The sequence below is a fragment of the Homo sapiens genome, chromosome 19 (assembly GCF_000001405.40).
Source record: "Homo sapiens chromosome 19, GRCh38.p14 Primary Assembly".
NCBI lineage: Eukaryota > Metazoa > Chordata > Mammalia > Primates > Hominidae > Homo > Homo sapiens.
In genome coordinates this window covers 40,537,615-40,557,004 of record NC_000019.10, presented here as the reverse complement: position 1 = coordinate 40,557,004, position 19,390 = coordinate 40,537,615, and the positions used below count along the sequence as shown (strand labels likewise).

The following is a 19,390-nucleotide window of genomic DNA, read 5'->3' as shown; positions in this document are numbered from 1 at the left end:
GGGGGGGGTACAGCAAAGTGAGCAAAGGGGCAGCATACACCAGCCCCCTCCAGCCTACAATGTTTTTTTTTCTTTTTGATACAGAGTCTTGCTCTGTCGCCCAGGTTGGCGTGCAGTGGTTCAATAGCCACTTACAGCAACCTTCACCTCCCCAGTTCAAGCAATTCTCCTGCCTCAGCCTCCCAAACAGCTAGGACTACAGGCATGTGCCACCACACCCAGCTGATTTTTTTGTGTTTTTAGTAGAGACGGGGTTTCACTATGTTGGCCAGGCTGGTCTCATACTCCTGACCTCAAGTGATCCACCTGCCTTGGCCTCCCAAAGTGTTGGGATTACAGGCATGAGCCACCACACCTGGCAGAGGCTACCATTTTGTGGCAGGTAAGAGTAATGATAATCATCATCATCATCATCATCATAAAAAATAATATCTAACACTTACTGAACACCTGGCAAGAATAGTAACAAAACAGTAACAATAAAAATAACAATAAGTAACAATAAAATAATAAGCTGATAATAATAACCAACACTGTGTGAGGCAGCATGTGTGCCAAGCAGGGTCCTCAGTGCTTTACGTTATATTAACTCATTTGTCTCACAGCAGAGCCATGAGGCGGGTGCTGTTATTATCCTCATACTACAGATGAGGAAACTAAGGCCCAGAGAACCTTAGTGGTAGCTCCTGGTATCACTTATTACTAATGATGCTCACCGAGACATGCTCAAAGTCCTGGCCGAGCTCGGGTGAGCCAGCCACCACCTCCTTCTCGGCAATCCAGTGCTCAAGCTCGCTCACCTGGCGGCTGAGCTGGTACAGCCAGTACTGCTGTTCCAGAGCCACCCGGCGCTCCTCACCCAGCTCCTTGAGCGCCACGTACAGGCGGTCCACCTGAGACTGCCGCCGGCTGATCTGCTCGCTGAAGGGGGACATGGAGGGGCAGGGATGGACCCCTGAGACTTCTGGGGCAGAGCGTGACCCCCCTAAACCCCCTCCCCAGGACAGGGCTGTGTTTCCTTGGAATCTTCAGACACGGCTGTGTCCCCAGGTAGAGCTCTGTTTTCTTTTCTTTTTTCTTTTTTTTTGGAGACAGGGTCTTGCTCTGTTGCTCAGGCTGGAGTGCAGTGGTGTGATCACAACTCACTGCAGCCTCCACCTCCCATGCTCAAGCAATCCTCCCATTGCAGCCTCCCAAGTGGGACCACAGGCACGTGACTCTACACCTGGCTAACTTTTTGATTTCTTTGTAGAGATGAGGTCTCACTATGTTCCCTCTGTTCTCAAACTCCTGGGCTCAAACGATCCTCCTGCCTCAGCCTCCCAGTGTTGAGATTACAGGTGTGAGCCACTACACCTGGCCAGGACTCTGTTTTCTGCAAGTCTTGGGTTCAGAAAGCCCTGCATTTCAGCATGCAGGGAAAGCTCCGCTTCCCTAAATGGATAAGCTCACCTCTATCCAGCCTCACCCAGTTTCCTTTCTTTTTTTTTCTTTTCTTTTTTTTTTTTTTTTTTTGAGACGGAGTCTTGCTCTGTCACCAGGCTGGAGTGCAGTGGCGCGATCTCGGCTCACTGCAACCTCTGCCACCCAGGTTCAAGCCATTCTCCTGCCTCAGCCTCCCCAGTAGCTAGGACTACAGGCACGTGCCACCATGCCCAGCTAATTTTTTATTTTTAGTAGAGACAGGGTTTCACCATGTTGGCCAAGCTGGTCTCCAACTCCTGACCTCAAGTGATCCGCCCACCTCGGCAGCCTCACCCGGTTTCTATCTCAGTCTCACGCCCCTCCTATCCAGGAACCTCGGTGGGACTCTGGACTCCCAGGTTGGGTCCCCAGCCAATGCATCCCACCTCTAGCCCCAATCTCTGAGCCCACTTGGACAGAGGTCTCTCTCTGTACCTCCTTACAGATTCCATCCCTGGTCCAGGCCTGGAGCTCAGCATCCGCCTACACGAGGCAACATCACCCCACTGCACCAGGAGGTCTCCAGCCCCACCGCCATAGCCAATCTCAGCACAGGCTTTTCTGTCCTCCCAGACACTGAGTAGAAAGAGCCCCTTGCCTGTCCTGAGTAAATTCTTCTCTACCCCAGTCCTAGACATCGCCTACTCTTTTCTCCCCCGACAAGGTCCCCACTACTACACTCAAATCCAGGTGCTCCTGGCCCCACCCTCTCAACCATCCCTGAGCCGTGTCCCCCCATTCCGGCCCGCCCACTTGCCAAATTCGAGGGCTCCAGCACACAGCAAGGAGGACCTCTCCCACCCAACGTCCAATTCCAGCGCTGCGCCAACTCCCAACAGCGAAGCTTCAGGTCCTGCTGGACCATTCCTGTGAACTGGCCACGCGCCCGCCCACCTGTCCGGGTGCCCCATCTCCAGCAGCGCCCGGCACTGGCGCGACAGCTGCGCGATGCTTTCCTCGTAGTTCTCCACGCCTTGCTCCAGCTGCAGGTGTTTCTTGAGCAGCTGCAGGGTGCTCTGTTCGTCCTGGGGGCACAAAGCGCCCACGATGAGGCGGCAGCGGCGGCCCCCGGCTCCAGCGCCCCCAGGCCCTCCGCACCCCCAGCTCGGGCGCACCTTGCCCTTGTCCTCACTCATCATGAGCAGCTCCTGCTCGCCCAGCCACGCCTCCACCTCAGCCACGTCGAAGTAGTACTGCTCCACCTGGAAGGCGGCGTCCAGCACCTGCTGCCGTCGCTCGGCAGCCTCCCGCAGTCCGGCCCAGGCGCTCTGCAGCTGCTCCAGGCCCCGGCGCACTGCCTCTGCCTCCGGGCTGCGCAGCGACGCCAGCGCGCCCGCGCGCTCCAGCACCTCCTCCAGGCGCGGCCCATGCGCCTGGATCTCCCGCCGCAGGCCCTGGGGGCAGGAGGTAAGGGGATGTGGGTGGAGAGGGGGCGTTCCGAGGCCCTGCAAGACCACACGCTCCTCTGCTACTGGCACGGCCCACGGGGCAATTAACAAGCACCCCCAGCTCGCTAACCACGTGCCAAGACCATGTAAACATTTTGCTGATACTCCCTCACTCATCATAACCCTATGCTTGCTGCAGGTGGGAAAACAGGCACAGAGGGGCGAAGTACGGCGCCCAAGAACAAGCAGCCAGTAAGGAGTGACAGGATTTGAACACAGGAGGCTGGTTCCAGAGACTGTGCTCTGAGCCAAGCCGCTTGCCGACCCAAGATGGGCCCTAATACAGAAACCCTGCAGCTTAGCAGCCGAGGTATCATTTGTATACGGTAGAGTGCACAAATCTTAGGTATACAGTTGCACACATTTGTACAGACACATACACCGGTGTGCCCAGATCAGCGTGCGGAACACTTCCATCCCCCAGAAGGTTCCCTCAACCAGCTCTGTACTTGCAGAGTACCTTATTTAACGTTTTGTGTGCCTTAACCTTATTTACTTACAGAGTACCTTATTTAACTTTTTGTGAGTCTTTTTTAACTTTTTGTGTGCCTTAACGTTATTTAACTTTTTGTGTGACTCAACTGATAAAGATAATAACAGCCAGCAAGTCCTCTCCTTATTTTGCTTTTTTAGAGACAGGGTGTCACTCTATCACCCAGGATGGAATGCAGCAGCTTTAAACTCCTGGGCTCAAGTGATCCTCCTGCCTCAGCCTCCCAAGCGGCTGGGACTACAGGTGTGCACCACCATGCCCTGCTATTTTAAAAAATATTTTTGGAGAGACGAGGTCTTGCTATGTTACTCAGGCTGGTCTTGAAGTCCTGGCCTCAAGCGATCCTCCTACCTTGGCCTCCCAAAGTGCTAGGCTTATAAGCATGAGCCACTGTGCCCGGCCAGCCAACGATTCTTGAGTGTCTGCTACCCTGCTACCTGCCAGGTGCTTTGCTAAGTAAGAGCTTTACATAATATAGCCTCACACCTCCTCACTCCCAACCTATGGAGCCAGACAACATTACCATCTCCATTTTACAGATGAGAAGACTGAGGCACAGAGAGGGTGAGGAATTTGCTAAGGTCACACAGCTAGTATCAGGCTGAGATAATCTACCTTGCGGGGTTGTTATAAGGTGATAAACTATGGAGCACTTGGAACTGAGTCTGCATGCACCAAATGCATCATATTTGCAGCTATTTTTGGCTTAACAGCCCCTGTGTATCCAGCACTCTCACTGCACACACAGCTGAGCTCCCCCAATTTTAAGTACTAAGTGCACTTGATCAGTTTCCTCAACCATGACAACGATAAGCCAGTTCTGTCGCCCACACTGTTGACAGCCAAGAGTATTTTCATCAAGACAGGAAAACAAAATCTCAGCAAAACTCCAGTCTCTTAAATAACTCTACCTACTGCAGAATGATCAGGAAGCTTCCAAAATAATCTGTAGACCCACCTCCCCACCATCCTTCAGTGCCCTATTCTTCCAACATACATTGTTTGGTGAAATGAGGATAATGACAATATCTACCTCATAGGGTTATAGAGGGGATTAAATTAAATAATCAGCATAAACCCTAAGACAGTACTTAGCACACAGTAAATCTTTTTTTTTTTTTAATCTTTTTTTTTTTTTTTTTTTGAGACGGAGTCTCGCTCTTGACACTCAGGCTGTATTGCAATGGTGCAATCTTGGCTCACTGCAACCTCCGCCTCCTAGGTTCAAGCGATTCTCCTGCCCCAGCCTCCCGAGTAGCTGGGATTACAGGCGCCCGACACCTCGCCCGGCTAATTTTTTGTGTTTTTAGTAGAGACGCGGTTTCACCGTGTTAGCCAGGATGGTCTCGATCTCCTGACCTCGTGATCCACTCGCCTCGGCCTCCCAAAGTGCTGGGATTACAGGCGTGAGCCACCGCACCTGGCCTTAATTTTTTGCATTTTTAGTAGAGACAGGGTTTCACCATGTTGGTCAGGCTGGTCTCGAACTCCTGACCTCAGGTGATCCACCCACCTCAGCCTCCCAAAGTGCTGGGATTACAGGCATGAGCCACTGCACCCAGCCAGCACTTAGTAAATCTTTAATCGATGTTTTTTTTTTTTTTTTGAGACAGGGTCTCACTCTGTCACCCAGGCTGGAGTACAGTGGTGTGATCTTGGCTCACTGCAACCTCTGCCTCCTGGGTTCAAGCAATTCTCCTGCCTCAGCCTCCCAGGTAGCTGGGATTACAGGCACCTTCTACTATGCTCAGCTAATTTTTGTATTTCTGGTAGAGACGGGGTTTCCCCATGTTGCCCAGGCTGGTCTCAAACTCCTGGGCTCAAGTGATCATCCTGCCTTGGCCTCCCAGAGTGCTGGGATTACAGGCATGAGCCACCACACCTGGCACAATGCCTTATTATTATTATTCCTCTTTTATGTCTTGCTTTAGGCTTTGGTGAAATAGTTGCTTTGACCAAGGGGTTCCCTTCGTATGCAGTTTGAGAACCACTGCTCTAAACCAACTCTACTTTAGATGTGGAAACTGAGCCCCAGAGGAATGAACAGATTCAGAGATTTTTTAGGAGCTCAAAGGCCCCCTCCCCCACCTTGCTCAGGTTAGGGGGCAGTAGTATCCTCTTGCTGATTATCTCTGTCCTTTGTCCCTATGGGTGTTTTTGTTTGTTTGTTTTGGGGGACGTGTGTGTGTGTGTGTGTGTGAGAGAGAGAGAGAGATAGGGTCTCATTCTGTTGCACAGGGTGGAGTGCAGTGGGGTGTTCAAGGCTCACTGCAGCTTTGACCTCTGGACTCAAGGGACCCTCCCTCCCCAGCCTCCAGAGTAGCTGGGACTACAGGGGTACACCATCACACCAGGCTAACTCGATGTTTTGTGATTTTGTTTGTTGTTGTTTTACTTTTTCCTTGTCCAATAGCTATTCCCCTTCCTTCTAGTCTCAAGCCCCTGATTTTCCTTTGGGAAACCCCCTTTGCCTCCATCTCAGCCTTGGTAATTAAGCTAAGGCTGATTCCAGCAGCAGGTTCCAGGGGAGGGCGCTTAACCAGGCCAGCCCAAGGAGCAGTCCGAAACCCCATCCATCATGATTAGTTCAGGGATGGGCGTGGGATGCCATGGGCATGGTGAGCCAATGAGAGTTATTCCTGAGACTACTGCTGACATTATTGAGGTGGGAAATTCTCTTCAGTTTTGCTGGTGGGAGGTAAACCTGAATCCACTGGAGGCCTTTTATCACCAGGAGAGGAGGACTGGCCTAAGAAGAAAGCTCATGCAGAAAAACAAACAGGCCGGGCGCGGTGGCTCACACCTGTAATCTCAGCACTTTGGGAGGCTGAGGCGAGTGGATCACTTGAGGCCAGGAGTTCGAGCCCAGCCTGGCCAACCTGGTGAAACACCCCACCCCCCGCCGTCCATCTCTACTAAAAATACAAAAATTAGCCAGGTGTGGTGGTGCACACATGTAATCCCAGCTACTTGGATGGCTGAGGCAGGAGAATCGCTTGAACTCAGGAAGTGGAGGTTGCAGTGAGCAAAGATTGTGCCACTAAACTCCAGCCTGGGCAACAAAGCAAGGCTCCATCTCAAAAAAAAAAAAAAAATAGAGCCAAGAGTCATGAAAATATATGGAAGCACCTGGATACATCTGTATCTGCTGTCCACAGTCTTGTTAATTCCAAAAGCCAATACATTCATTGTTTTGGCTTTAACCACCTTCAGCTGTTTCTATCACATGTATCCAAATGTCCTAACTCGCTCCCTCACCTGGCTCTGCTCACCTGGTTCTTTTTGATGTGCTGCTGGACCGCCTGCAAACCGTTGCCTCGCTCTGTCTGCATGGCCAGTGGCAGCCGCTCCTGAACCCATGCCTGGAGAGGACACAGGAAGCAGGTCAAGGGGAGAATGCATCCAAGAACCCCTGCATCGCAACTAAACTTTAAACCTGCACGGCATCCCAGGCCCTTCCTTGCCTAAGAGCCCAGTTGAATATTCAGCCTCCTCCATTTTTTGTTTTTTTTTTTTCTTTGAGATGGGATCGAATCCCCAGGCTCAAATAATCCTCCTACCTCAGCCTCCCATGTAGCTGGGACAACAGGCACCACCACACCTGTCTCAGTCTCCTCTGTTGACATACTCTTTCTTGCTGTCTGCACTTAAGCCAGGCTCACACCGTTGGCCTTTGCACATACAGGTCTTGTTTCCTATCATATTCCTAACCACCCTGAATTGTCACTGTCTGGGGACAAGTCTGTTTTCCCCGTTGGACTCTGAACCCTCTGGGGCACAATGGGGTCTGCCTTGGCCACCCCTGTGGCCCCACTATCATCCAAACACAGGGCTGGGGCTAGAATGATCAACTGAGTGAACAAATGAATGAGCAAATCAGGAAATTGAGTGATGGAATGAGGAACAGAGGAGTGAATGAATGAATAGTTAAGTAAATAAATGAGTGGAGGAAAGAACAAACTATGGATGAGTGAATAAATAAATGAGTGACTTCATGAATAAATCAACGAATGATTCAAAGTGAGTAAATGAGTGTGAATGAATGAATGAGTGAACGGCTGAATGCGTCTTTCAGCGTATGAGTGGGAGGGTCTCAGCCGTCTCCATCTTCAGCCCCGCCCCATGCCCACCTTCTCCGCCCCACCGCCCCGCCCCGCCCCGCCCCAGGCCCCTGCGCTGGCCTCACCAGCTCGTCGTCCAGGTCGTGCGCCACCTGGTGCAACTCCTTGGAAGCCAGCAGCAAGCGGCGGCGCTCCTGCAACGGCTCGAGCAGGCGCACCAGGCGCTCGCCCACCGCGTTCTGCCGCTCACCCACCAGCTCCTTGCTCGCCGGCTCCAGCGGCAGCGCCGCCGTCTGCGCCTGCAGCTCTCCCACCTCGCGGTACCACTCCTCCACCTGCGACTCCATGGACTGTGGGGACAGAGGCAGGGTCAATGGGCCCCACCCGCCCTCCTGATCCTGCTGTGGCTCTCCAGTACCCTTATGGTGACAGCCAGACCCCTCACCGCGGCCCACCCTTCCACCCTCTCCTTGTTCAGTCCCCTCCAGGAGCGATGCGCTCCGCATGAACCTGCATCACACTAAGCTAGTCCCTGCCTCGGAGCCTTTGCCTTTGCTGTTTCCTCTGCCAGGCATGCTCTTCCTTGTCAATCAGATTTCAGCTGGAGTATTACCTTCTCAAAGAGGCTTACCTGACCCCGGAACTAAAGTGGTCCATTAATTCACTAATTCCCAGAACAACCTTCAAGATTGGTAGTCTCCCTGTTTTACAGAGGAGGAAACCAAGGCCAAGAGAAGTTAAAGAATTTGTCCAAAGAGTCAACTTTCCAAAATTATTACCATCAAATATAGTAATAATTTTTTGTTAACGCTTTTTTTTTTTTTGAGATGGAGTCTCGCTCTGTTGCCCAGGCTGGAGTGCAATGGCGTAATCTTGGCTCACTGCAACCTTCACCTCCTGGCTTCAAGTGATTCTCCCGCCTCAGCCTCCTGAGTAGCTGGGATTACAGGCACCTGCCATCATGCCCGGCTAATTTTTGTATTTTTGTAGAGATGGGGTTTCACCATATTGGCCAGGCTGGTCTTGAACTCCTGACCTCAGGATGAACAAATCAGCCTGGGTGCTGTGTCATCCAGGCTGGAGTGCAGTGGGCAACCTCAGCTCACTGCAACCTCCACCTCCCAGGTTCAAGTGATTCTTGTGCCTTGACCTCCCAAGTAGCTGGGACTACAGGCACCTGACACCATGCCTTGCTAATTTTTTTTGTATTTTTAGTAGAGATGGGGTTTCACCATGTTGGTCAGGCTGGTCTCAAACTCATAACCTCAAGTGATCTGCCCATCTTGGCCTCCCAAAGTGCTGGGATTACCGGATAAAAAAATTTGATAGTAAGAAATTATCAAAAATAAATACAAAGCTATAGTAATTTGGATGGCTGCTGTGTCTTAGGAATAGACAGAAAGTGCAAAAGCAGACCCAAATACACAGGAAAATTCATGTGTTTCATAGGTGCCAATTCAAATCCCCAAGGGAAAGATGGATTATTTAATGAATGGTCATGGGCCAATGGCTAACCAATTTAGCTGGATCCTTTCCTTGCTGTTTGTACTGAAAACAATTCCAGATGGATTAAAGACCTAAACAGAGTAAGTAAATCCATAAGGCACTAAAAGAAAACCTGGGCAAATGCTTTTATAATGTTGGGATGGAGAAAAATCTTTCCAAGCATAAAAAACATAAAGGGAAAGATTTATAATTTGATCACATAAAAATACTTCTGCATCAGCCAACAGACATATGAAAAAATGCTCACCATCACTGGTCATCAGATAAATGCAAATCAAAACCACAATGAGATATCATCTCACACCAGTTAGAATAGCGATCATTAAAAAGTCAGGAAACAACAGATGCTGGAGAGGATGTGGAGAAACAGGAACACTTTTACACTGTTGGTGGGAATGTAAACTGGTTCAACCATTGGGGAAGACAGTGTGGCGATTCCTCAAGGATCTAGAACTAGAAATACCATTTGACCCAGTGATCCCATTACTGGGTATATACCCAAAGGATTATAAATCATGCTACTATAAAGACACATGCACACGTATGTTTATTGTGGCACTATTCACATTAGCAAAGACTTGCAACCAACCCAAATGTCCATCAATGATAGACTGGATTAAGAAAATGTGGCACATATACACCATGGAATACTATGCAGCCATAAAGAAGGATGAGTTCATGTCCTTTGTAGGGACATGGGTGAAGCTGGAAACCATCATTCTGAGCAAACTATCGCAAGGACAGAAAACCAAACACCACACGTTCTCACTCATAGGTGGGAGCTGAACAATGAGAACACTTGGACACAGGGCAGGGAACATCACACACCGGGGCCTGTCATGGGGTGGGGGGAGGGGGGAGGGATATCATTAAGAGAAATACCTAATGTAAATGACGAGTTAATGGGTGCAGCACACCAACATGGCACATGAATTCCTATGTAACAAACCTGCACATTGTGCACATGTACCCTAGAATTTAAAGTATAATTAAAAAAATAATTAAAAAATACTTCTGCATCAACCAAAATTTCATAGAGTTAGAAGGCAAATGACAAACTGTAAAAATTGATATGTATCAGTGCAAGGAACTAGTTTAACAATCAAAGAATTTCCCTCCATCCTGCTTCGTCTTCACAGTGCTTACCACCATCAGACAACTCTCTTGATTTGTGTGTGTGTGTTTTGTTTTTTGATAGGGTCTTGCTCTGTCATCCAGGTTGGCATGCAGTAGTAAGATAATAACTCTCTGCAGCCTTGAACTCCTGGGCTCAAGGGATCCTCTTGCCTCAGCCTCCCAAGTAGCTAGGACTACAAGCACACACCACCATGCCCAGCTCATTTTTGAAATTTGTCATAAAGATGGGGTCTTGCTATGTTGCCCAGGCTGGTCTTGAACTCCTGGACTCAAACTATTCTCACGTTGGCCTTCCAAAGTGCTGGGATTACAGGTGTGAGCCACTGCACTCAGGTACTTTTGTATTTTTATTGGTCCCTTGCTTCCAGAATGTGACCCACATGATGGGAGGGGCTGTGTCACACTCACTGCTATATTCTTGAAAGCCTAGAACAATTTTTGGTACACAATAGGCCTCCAGTTATGATTTGTTCAATGCATACATGAATGACATCAGCAAAAAAAAAGGACTGCCCAAAAAGAGAAATGGGCATCAGATGTGAACAGGCAACAGACAAAACAAGCATATGAAAAGATGCTCAGTCTTATTAATAAGCTGGAAAATAGAAATTAAAACAAGACTTCCTTTTCTTTTTTCTTTTCTTTCTTTCTTTCTTTTTTTTTTTTTTTTGAGATGGAGTTTCGCTCTTTTTGCCCAGGCTGGAGTGCAATGGCATGATCTCGGCTCACTGCAACCTCTGCCTCCTCAGTTCAAGTGATTCTCCTGCCTCCGCCTCCCGAGTAGCTGGGATCACAGGCACACATCACCACGCCCGGTTAATTTTGATTTTTTTTTTTTTTTTTTTTGAGGCAGAGTCTCGCTCTTTCGCCCAGGCTGGAGTGCAATGGTGCTATCTTGGCTCACTGCAAGCTCCAAGCTCTGCCTCCTGGGTTCACGGCATTCTCCTGCCTCAGCCTCCCAAGTAGCTGGGACTACAGGTGCCCACCACCACGCCTGACTAATTTTTTTTGTATTTTTAGTAGAGATGGGGTTTCACCATGTTAGCCAGGATGGTCTCGATCTCCTGACCTTGTGATCTGCCTGCCTTGGCCTTCCAAAGTGCTGGGATTACAGGCGTGAGCCACCACGCCTGGCCAATTCTGAATTTTTAATAGAGATGGGGTTTCACCATGTTGGCCAGGCTAGTCTTGAACTCTTGACTACAGGTGATCCACCCACCTCGGCCTCCCAAAGTGCTGGGATTACAGGAGTGAGCCACTGCGCCTGGCCAAGGCATTCTTTTCTACACATTAGGTTGGCAAAAATGTAAAAGACTTATAGTATCTAATGCTGGCAAAGATGTTGGGAGATGGGCACACTCAGCCACTGTCAGTGGTGGCATAAATTGGTAGAGCCTTTTTAGAAGGCAATTTGGCAGGTCTTTGCATCAAAATGCAAAATATGCATCTGCTTGACCCAGCACTTGCATTTCTAGTAATATAACTAAAGAAATACTGTCATAGGCCAAGTGCAGTGGCTCACGCCTGTAATCCCAGCACTTTGGGAGGCCAAGGCAGGCAGATCACAAGGTCAGGAGTTTGAGACCAGCCTGGCCAACATGGTGAAACCCTGTCTCTACTAAAAATACAAAAATTAGCTAGGCGTGGTGATGCACGCCTGTAATCCCAGCTACTTGGGAGGCTGAGGCAGGAGAATTGCTTGAACTTGGGAGGTGGAGGTTGCAGTGAGCCGAGATCACGTCGCTGCAATTCAGCCTGGGTGACACAGCAAGACTCCATCCTGAAAAAAAAATTTTTAAATAATAATAATAAAAATTTTTTTAAGAAAAAAAAGAAATACTGGCACAGATGCACAAAGTTGTAGTATCACAGCAGAGTTTATAATGGGAAAAAACTGGAAGCAACCTCAATGCCCATCAAGAGAGAAATGGTTAAGTCAGGTGCAGCAGCTCATGCCTGTAATCCCAGCTACTTAGGAGGTTGAGGTGGGAGAAATGCTTGAGCCCAGGAGTTTGAGACCAGCCTGGGCAACACAGCTAGACCCCCTCTCTTAAAAAAAAATAAAAAATAAAAAAGAGTAAAATGGTTAAACAAATCCAGACCAGTATGGAAAAATAGCCAAGTGTTACTGTTAAGAAGAAAAAGCATGCTGGGTGCGGTGGCTCACGCCTGTAATCCTAGCACTCTGGGAGGCCAAGGCGCGTGGATCACCTGAAGTCAGGAGTTTGAGACCTGCCTGGCCAACATGGTGAAACCCCATCTCTACTAAAAACACAAAAAATTAGCCAGGCGTGATGGCAGACACCTGTAATCCCAGCTACTCGGGAGCCTGAGGCAGGAGAATCACTTGAACCCGGGAGGCAGAGGTTGCAGTGAGCCGAGATCATGCCACTGCACTCCAGCCCGGGCAACAAAAGCAAAACTCCATCTCAAAAAAAAAAAAAAAAAAAAAAAAGCCGGGCACAATGGCTCATGCCTGTAATCCCAGCACTTTGGAAGGCTGAGGCGGGCGGATCACGAGGTCAAGAGATAGACACCATGCTGGCCAACATGGTGAAACCCAGTCTCTACTAAAAATACAAAAAATTAGCCGGGCATTGTGGCAGGCGCCTGTTATCCCAGCTACTTGGGAGGCTGAGGCAGGAGAATTGCTTGAACCCGGGAGGCGGAGGTTGCAGTGAGCTGAGATCGCGCCATTGCGCTCCGGCTTTGGCAAAAAGAGCGAAACTCAGTCTCAACAACAAACAAACAAAAAAAAAAAAAAAAAAGAGGAAGAAGAAGAAGCAATTTAGAACCTACCTATGAATATAAATTTATAGTGGATTGCACATGCATAAAAATTCCCTGGAGTAAACAAGAAGTTCATAACAGATGGTACTTACTGGGGGAGGGGATGAGAACTTAATGAATGGGGAACAGGGATGAAGGCGATAATTTTCCCATGGGATTTCCCTAGAGGTTTTGATGTCTTCACCATGAAAATTTATTTATTCAAAAATTGAAATTAAACATGAAAAGCAAATAATATAAAAACATTAAACATCCATATAGGTACACTTGTAAATGCACAGAAAGAGGTCTAGATGGATGCACACCAAATAACTGAGGCTCTCTTTGGGATGTGGGATTGGGAGGCAGATAGGAGTGAGACTTTATGTTTTACTGAAGACTGCTCGGTTAGTAAAATTTTTTCCCAAAAGAATATATTCATATATTACCCTTGTAATTCTAAACAGATGGAGGAAAGCTAGAGAAGAAAACAAAATAACAATTAAAAAATTAAGTGGTAGCAGATTACCACAAATGACTGCAAAACAAAACCCCAAACTCAAGAACCAAGCCAAGACTTCTTGATTCAAAGTTCTGTAGTGCAGAGTTGTTGGTTTTGCCTGCCCAAAATCCATCCTCTCCTTCCAAATACATCAAAACTCACTCTCAGGTCCTGAGCTTCCTGAAGGGCAAATGAAACCTAGAGAGTCATGGGTAATCACATGACCCAAGTGGGGCCAAGCAGAACACTGAAAACACCCTGGTCATAAAGATTGGGTCAGATATGAGCACGTAACCTTAGATGGGCCAATGAAAACTCTTCCCACTTTTTCTTTTTTGGTAGAGGTGGGGTCTCGCTGTGTTGGCCAGGCGGGTCTCCAACTCCTGGCCTCAAGCAATCCTCCCATCTTGGCCTCCTAAAGTGTGGGATTACAGGTGTGAGCCACTGTGCCCGGCCACTCTCCCCATTTTCGCCAGGAAAATGTGTGTGCACAGAAGAGATGCTCTCTTTCCCATGGGCTTCCTAAGTTGGGAGGAGGTAGGCCGGGCATCCTGGGGTCATCCTGCCAACATCAGGGACTCCCTGACCATGAGGCCAACACAGAAGAAAGCGGTGCTCAGAAATGAAGACAAGGAGATTTGTGAAGACGTAATTTGAGTTACTGATCACTCCACCCCTCAGACCCCGAGCCAGCACCTTCATAAATTGAAGACATAATTTGTGAATTATGAAGACATAATTAGCTGAGATCGCGCCACTGCACTCCAGCCTGGGCAACAGAGTGAGACTCTGTCTCAAAAAACAAAAAAACAAAAACAAAAAAAAAAGGAAAGAAAGAAAGGATGGGGTCCCTTGCCTTGAGTCCCAATAAGGCAAGGACTGGGACTGTATAGTCCCTGAATGTGCACTCCTCTCCTAGGCCATGCTGAGCTGGATACAAAAACATGGGACAGAGAAGCAGAACAGGGGGGAGGAGGGTGTTTCCTTGGCCAGAGAAAGAGCTTTGCTTAGGGTGGGGGTGGGCCTGGAAAAAGTGTGGGGTCCCCAGGGACAGAGCCTGGCAGCTGCAAAGCCTCTAGTGCATTTTCTCATCTGGCAGGAGACCAGTCCCCCATCTCTCCAAGCAGGAGCCTGTGGCTGAGGCCGACCAGCTGGCCAGGTCCCTGAGGGCTGGGGAGCCAGGACTTGAGACTCCACCATCTGGCTTCTTGGCCAGGAAGCACAGCTTGGCAACAGGCCCCGAGAGAGGATTCTGGGTCACGTGGCCAGGACCTGGGAGGTGGGGTCCCAGAGAGCCTGCTGCAGCAGCGGGTGTGGTACGGGATGAGGGAGAGGACACAAGGAGGACATGAGGAACACGGGAAGGAGGCAGAGACAGAGAAGTCAAATAAAAAGAGACAGAGAGACTGGGGTGGTGGCTCATGCCTGTAATCCCAGAACTTTGGGAGGCCAAGGTAGGCAGATCACCTGAGGTCAGGAGTTCAAGACCAACCTGGCCAACATGGTGAAACCCCATCTCTACTAAAAATACAAAAATTAGCCGGGCGTGGTGGCTCACGCCTGTAATCACAACTACTTGGGAGGCTGAGGCAGGAGAATCGCTGGAATCCGGGAGGCGGAGGTTGCAGCGAGCTGAGACTGTGCCATTGCACTCCAGCCTGGGTGACAGAGTGAGATTCCGTCTCAAAAAGAAAAAATAAAAATAAAAAAATACAAAAATTAGCCAGGCATGGTGGCGGGTGCCTGTAATCCCAGCTACTGGGGAGGCTGGGGAATCGCTTGAACCTGGGAGGCGGAGATTGCAGTGAGCCAAGATCGCGCCACTGCACTCCAGCCTGGGTGACAGAGTAAGATTCTGTCTCAAAATAAATAAAGAGACAGAGAGAAGGGAGTGAGAGAGTAGGACAGAGAGGGACACAAAGGGAAGAGAGAGACACAGAGATGGCGACGGGAGGACAGGAGAGAGGCTGAGGGGGACAGATCGCTCACACACTGCACACCACTACACCCCTCAGACCCCGAGCCAGTACCTCCCTCAGCCCAGCCTGGCCCCAGTGCCCTAAGGGTGGATGGGACAGCCAGGAAACGTGCCAGGCTGGATGGCAGCCAACCCCTCTCCTGTGTATGCCCCAGGGGACAGCAGGGCCTTGGCAGGTCCCTTCCCCAGTAGCAGCTCCTGAGGGGCAGCTGGGCTCCGTCTGGGTGCCCTGGCCCACACAGTCACTTCCTGCCTCGGGCTCCCTCTGCTGGGAAAAGGGCCCAGGAGTCTCGTGCTGGAGCCTGCCTCTGGCACCCATCACTGTGTGACCCCAGGGCCACTCCCTTGTCTCCTCTGGGCTTCAGCCCCTCCCTTGAACAATGGGGACCCCCATCTCATGGTTTGCTGGGCTTGGTTGAGACTGAACCCCCTACAGGGAGGGAAGAGCTAACTCTGTACTCTGGCTAAAGCAGGAGGCCCCAACTCCTTCCTCTAAAACCTAAATAGTACAAAAGAAGGTCAAAGATGGTCAAGCTCGCCAGTAGCATTGGAAAAAAATACAAATACACACACTGCAGTGAGATACCACTTCCCAGCCATCGGACTGAGAAAGATCTAAAATGTCTGACAAAACCAAGTGTTGGCAAGGACGAGAGGAAACAGGAGCTCATGTGTACTGCTGGGGAGAGAGTGAGCAGCCACAGAAGGACCTGGGCAGGCAATTTGGCAAAAGCAAGTGAGCTAAAGATGGTTCTAACTTTTAACACTATATAAATATTTCATTTACCACCTCCAAATTACTTTTCTTTTTTTTTTTTTTTTTTTTTTTTTTGAGATGGGGGTCTCACTCTGTCGACCAGATTGGAGTGCAGTGACACGATCACAGCTCACTGCAGCTTCAACCTCCTGGGCTCAAGTGATCCTCCCACTTCAGCCTTCTGAGTAGCTGGGAACACAGGCATGTGAATCTCGCTATGTTGCCCAGGCTGGTCTGGAACACCTGGGCTCAAGCGATCCTCCTGCCTTGGCCTCACAAAGTGCTGGGATTACAGGCATGAGCCACTGTGCCCAATCATCCATGTTGCTTTTTTAAAATGTGTTTTGGGGCCAGGTGCAGTGGCTCACGCGAATAATCCCAGCACTTTGAGGGGCTAAGGCAGGAGGACTGTTTGAGCCCAGGAGTTTGTGACCAGCCTGGGTAACATAGTGAGACCCCATCTATCAAAAAATAAAAATAAATTAAAATTAAAAAGCAGCATGGAGAGGGGTAAATGCCCCAAATGGAATATGAACAAAAACAAATGAAGTAACCGTGTATCACATAAGTAACAACCAAAGGGAAGGTGAAACAACTAGCTTTTGAAAACAGTAGAGTGATGGTGATATGCTCTCAGTTTTATGACAGTTAAAATTAAAGACTGGCCAGGCACGGTGGTTCATGCCTATTATCCCAGCACTTTGGGAGGCCGAGGCGGGCGGATCACTTGAGGTCAGGAGTTTGGGACCAGCCTGGACAACATGGCGAAACCCCATCTCTACTAAAAATACAAAAATTAGCCGGGTATGGTGGCGGGTGCCTATAGTCCCAGCTACTCGGGAGGCTGAGGCAGGAGAATCACTTGAACCCAGGAGGCAGAGGGTTGCAGTGAGCCGAGATTGTGCCACTGCGCTCCAGCCTGGGTGACAAGAACAAAACTTGGTCTAAAAAAAAAAAAATTAAAGACCTGTGAATAAATACTGAATCTTAGATTTGTTGGGTCAGCAGTTCTGAAACCACTTAATGCATTATGTCTTTTCACCTTCACAATGTCCTTATGAGGTCAGAAATATCATTATGCCCATTTTACTGAAGAAGAAAATGAGGCACAGCCAGGCGCGGTGGCTCATGCCTGTAATCCCAGCACTTTGGGAGGCGGAGGTGGGTGGATCACTTGAGGTCAGGAGTTTGAGACCAGCCTGGCCAACATGGTGAAACCCCGTCTCTACTAAAAATACAAAAATTAGCCAGGCGTGGTGGCAGGTGCCTGTAATCCCAGCTACTCAGGAGGACGCTGAGGCAGGAGAATCACTTGAAGCCAGGAGGCGGAGGTTGCAGTGAGCCGAGGTCCTGCCACTGCACTCCAGCCTGGGCAACAGAGTGAGACTCCCTCTTAAAAAAAGAAAAAGAAACTGAAGCATGGAGAGAAAAGTAACCTCCTTGGGCTATCCAGGTGATAAGGCACAGAGCCAGGGCTTGACCCAGGCAGCCCAGCGCCAGCATCCATGCCCTTCACTGAGATGCTCTGCTGCTTCCCACACTCCTGCTATCCACCAGGGGGTGAGCATTGAGGTCCTTCCCATTGCAAGGAGAAGGCATCCAAGGCTCAGAGGGAGAGACGAAGGCAGCAAGTGGGAGAGCTGTGACTCAGAACCAGACCTGCTGGAGTCCCAAGTCTGTGCCTTCAGCCACTGCAAAACACTGCTGGGGAAGAATTAGTAATCACTGCAAGATAATTATGAATCCTAGCAATAGGCTGGGGCAGTGGCTCACGCCTGTGATCCCAGCACTTTGGGAGGCCGAGGTGGATGGATGCTTCAGCCCGGGATCTTGAGACCCATAGTCCAAGCTTCTTCACCCTGCCCTGTGCAGGACTGACCTGCATGGACCAGCCCTCCTGTCCTCTGGCTTCCATGTGGGTTGGCCTCAAACATGGCTTATACTTTTCAGTGCAAAATGAAAACACAAGGTCCCTTGTTCAAATATTTATTAAGAATTTTATCCAGGGGCAGTGCTTCACCCCTGTAATCCCAGCACTTTGGGAGACTAACGTAGGAGGATCACTTGAGGCCAGGAGTTTGAGACCAGCCTGGGCAACACAGTGAGGCCCCCGTCTCTATAAAATACTACAAAAATTATCTGGGCGTGGTGGCACACGCTTGTAGTCCCAGCTACTCAGGAGGCTGAGGTGACAGGTTCACTTGAGTCCAGGAGTTCAAGGCTGCAGTGAGCCATGATCACGCCATTGCACTTCAGCCTGGGTGACAGAGGTAGAAACTGCCTCAAAAACAAAAAAATTCAAGACATCAATAGTAGGGCATTAAACCAAGCATGGAGCCCTGTGTCACTGCACGGGCAAACACCCATGAAGCCAGCCCTGGCTGACAAAGGGAAGCCCAGAGGAAAGTGAGTCTGGGGTATTATCTCCCCAGCTCTTCCCTGCTATGGTGCCATGGTCTGGCTGCCGTTCTTTCTTTCTTTCTCTTTTTTTTTTTTTTTGAGACAGAGTCTCACTCTGTCACCCAGGCTGGAGTGCAGTGAGGTGCAATCTTGCCTCACTGCAACCTCCGCCTCTCAAGTTCAAGCGATTCTCATGCCCCAGCCTCCCGAGTAGCTGGGATTACAGGCATGTGCCACCACGTTCGGCTAATTTTTGTATTTTTAGTAGAGACGGGGTTTTGCCATGTTGCCCAGGTTGGTCTTGAATTCCTGATCTCAAGTGAACCACCCGCCTTGGCCTCCCAAAGTGCTGGGATTACAGGCGTGAGCCACTGCGTCTGGCCATGGCTGCCGTTCTTGACTAAGAGTGCCAGCTCCTGTCTGGCAACTCTCCCCTTCCAAGTTCCAATAACTTTTCCTTCTCTACCTTCTCTGGCTAGGGAGGAGCAAAAGCTCCCCTCCATGAGTCCCACAGCCCTATATGCTTCCTGCAGCTTCCCCGTTCTCCACTCACACCTTTGTCAAGAAACTCAAGTTTTCTGCAGGTGAGCCTGCTTCTGTTTCTGGCTGGGACCCTGACAGTCAGATGCCCCTTTCTTGCAGGCTTACCACATCCTGGGCACTGTGCTAAGTGGCTCCTTTCTGTGCACATCCCCACCTGGCCCTGGGAGACCTGCACTGATGATAGAGTCCTATTTAAGAGGGAGGACAGAGGCTCAGGGAGGGACTAAAGGTGGTATTGAATAGCCACTTGGTAGCCATGTGACCTCTGTGAGCCACAGATCCTTTCTGTGCTGTGGTTTTCTGCTGGGTGGGGATAATAACAGGACCTCCCT

The 19,390-nt window shown here is 49.6% G+C and overlaps 1 protein-coding gene across 5 annotated transcripts in view; it reads right to left on the bottom strand.

Moving 5' to 3' along the window:
• The window catches only part of SPTBN4 (spectrin beta, non-erythrocytic 4), a 109,464-nt gene that overhangs the window by 19,460 nt on the left and 70,614 nt on the right, over positions 1–19,390 (bottom strand). For all 5 annotated transcript variants that reach the window (NM_020971.3, XM_017027051.2, XM_017027049.2 and 2 more), the window contains 5 exons: positions 7,592–7,816; positions 6,678–6,767; positions 2,580–2,858; positions 2,359–2,489; positions 717–921 (listed from right to left, as the gene is read on the bottom strand). In NM_020971.3, coding sequence (NP_066022.2) covers positions 717–921; positions 2,359–2,489; positions 2,580–2,858; positions 6,678–6,767; positions 7,592–7,816 — 930 coding nt within the window. The remainder of the gene's footprint in view (positions 1–716; positions 922–2,358; positions 2,490–2,579; positions 2,859–6,677; positions 6,768–7,591; positions 7,817–19,390) is intronic.